The sequence below is a fragment of the Homo sapiens genome, chromosome X (assembly GCF_000001405.40).
Source record: "Homo sapiens chromosome X, GRCh38.p14 Primary Assembly".
Taxonomy (NCBI): Eukaryota; Metazoa; Chordata; class Mammalia; order Primates; family Hominidae; genus Homo; species Homo sapiens.
The window spans coordinates 19,290,320-19,292,409 of NC_000023.11; the positions used below are offsets into that span (position 1 = coordinate 19,290,320).

A 2,090-nucleotide genomic window follows, 5' to 3' on the forward strand; every position below is an offset into this window, starting at 1 on the left:
GGTCACTCCTCATCTTTCTCCACCATGAAGCCCCCTAATTTCCCTAGGCTGGTTTCTGTTCTCTTACAGCCACCTGTACGTCTCCAGTCACACCTCCTTGTCACTGCTTCGTTGGTTGCCTGTCATCCCTGACTAGACAGAAGGCTCCACGGATGCAGGAACTTTACCTGTTTTGTTTGCCATCAATCCGTCCAGGCACCTGGATGTATTCTTACTGACATGCTTAGCAGATTTAGCAGAAACTCACCGTCACCCTTGGCCTGATGGATCTTGAAAAATAACAATACTATCTAATATTTCCACTTCGGGGTCTACAACATTACTTCCTTTGAGACATCATGTTGAGAGGTAGGCAGATGAGCTCCACTTTAATATACCAGTGCCCTGGGGCTCAGGGCGAAAGCCTCAAGCGTCATTGTCTATTCACTCAGTGGCTACTTCTGTCTACAATACAAAAGGCCTCATGTTAGTTTCTAAGGATACAAAGATGAAAAAAGAATGATCTTTGTACCTGAGAATCTCAAAGTCTAGACGGAAACAAAGTGTGAGAAGTTGTAATGGAGGTATGAACAAAATGTGGTGGAAACAGAAAAGCTACTGACTCGACTTGGGGAAGGTGGAAAGGTCACAGACAGTCCCTCCTGTCTTCCTGCAAGCTTCCACTGATCCTTTGAGACTAACTTAACCTGTTACCCGATCCTTGTCTTTTCTCCTCTCTATCCCTTTTTGAGGCTCCCTCAGTTCTACATAGAACAAACTGAACCGTGGTCCCATAGCACACTTCTTTTATAACACCTATCAAGTTCCTCGAGTCTAGGAAATTTCTGTAAGTCAGGAAAAGCGGAAGTCGGGCCCACCAGATGGCTGCTACATGTGGGCTGAGGAGCCTCCAGAGAGAGAACTTGATCCCAGACACACTGAGCCCAGTGGGAAACCTTAGTCATCAGGCAGGAGAGGCAATCCACAAGCTGAAGGATGAGAAGCGATTCTGAGGACAGCAGGATGTCTGCCACTGAGATTTTCATACCTCTAAACCTCCAATGCAAACTCACAGCTGGAGTGTGAGCTGGAGGGCTATGAATGAAAGCCGAAAGAGCTGTTTCACTAAGAACCTTTAAGAAATTAAGATATTGGCTGCATGCTTTGGGAGCCCTCTAACAGACTGAGACATAAAGGAGAGATGGGCATCCTCCCCCTTTGTCCACTGCAGACAACTTCTCTGGTACTACAGGGACCCCAATGAGCCTGGAATTGCCCCTGGCCAAGCAGCAGTGACACCCAGCCAAGACTTCGATGCCATAAGTAGAAAGACAAGCACCCAGTGGGACGAGATAGATTCCTAGGGTAGTACTTACCAAATTGTGGGGCTTGATGCATTAGTTAGTGGGTCATGAAAATAAATTGGTGGCTCATGACCAGCAGTTTTTCATAGACTAGAATAGGATTAAAAAATCAGAGCGCCTCACAAGTAGTGTTTTATGGAAGTAGGCATATATGTATATGCAAGTATGTGTGCATGTGTGAGTATACATGTATAAATGTACTGGGTCATTATGTAAAATATATCCCTTCCTGTGGACCATGGTCAAAATCACAAAGGGATTGCCTGTGGAACAGTAGTATATGATAGAAATGGTAGTTAACTTAAATCCTGTATTTAAGTTCATAAATATTCCCAGATATAACCAAGTAGGGTTTGCAAGAGCTAGCTGCACGATCTACTATAGTAGCCACTAGCACATGTGGCTATTTAAATTAATTAACTAAAAGTAACAATTCCATTCCTTAGTAGTACCGGCCACATTTCAAATGCTCAAAAGAGACTTGTGGCACAAAAGAGGCTATGCTCAAAAGAGTCTAGTACATTTTTTGCATATTCCTTATTGGATAGCACAGATATAGAACATTTCCAACATCCAGAAAGTTCTATTGGACAGCTCTAGGCTACAGGTTCCATATCAGCAGGAGCGGGGAAGAGTTAGTAAAGTATAGGCACTGACTGTTCTGGCTTCTGCCTATACCCACAGACAGATGAGCCCTGGGGATCCTATAGAAATGATGTACTATCTACTTTCCCACAACCTATTTCC

General features: G+C 44.1%; 2 annotated features.

Annotated features, from left to right (window-relative positions):
• Window positions 679-1,179: an enhancer, noted in NCBI's record as "NANOG-H3K27ac hESC enhancer chrX:19309116-19309616 (GRCh37/hg19 assembly coordinates)". NCBI's record gives its function as "activates a minimal SCP1, AML or CMV promoter by ChIP-STARR-seq in primed H9 embryonic stem cells {active_cell/tissue: H9 hESC(primed)}" and the evidence as "EXISTENCE:reporter gene assay evidence [ECO:0000049][PMID:30033119]".
• Window positions 1,180-1,680: an enhancer, noted in NCBI's record as "NANOG-H3K27ac hESC enhancer chrX:19309617-19310117 (GRCh37/hg19 assembly coordinates)". NCBI's record gives its function as "activates a minimal SCP1, AML or CMV promoter by ChIP-STARR-seq in primed H9 embryonic stem cells {active_cell/tissue: H9 hESC(primed)}" and the evidence as "EXISTENCE:reporter gene assay evidence [ECO:0000049][PMID:30033119]".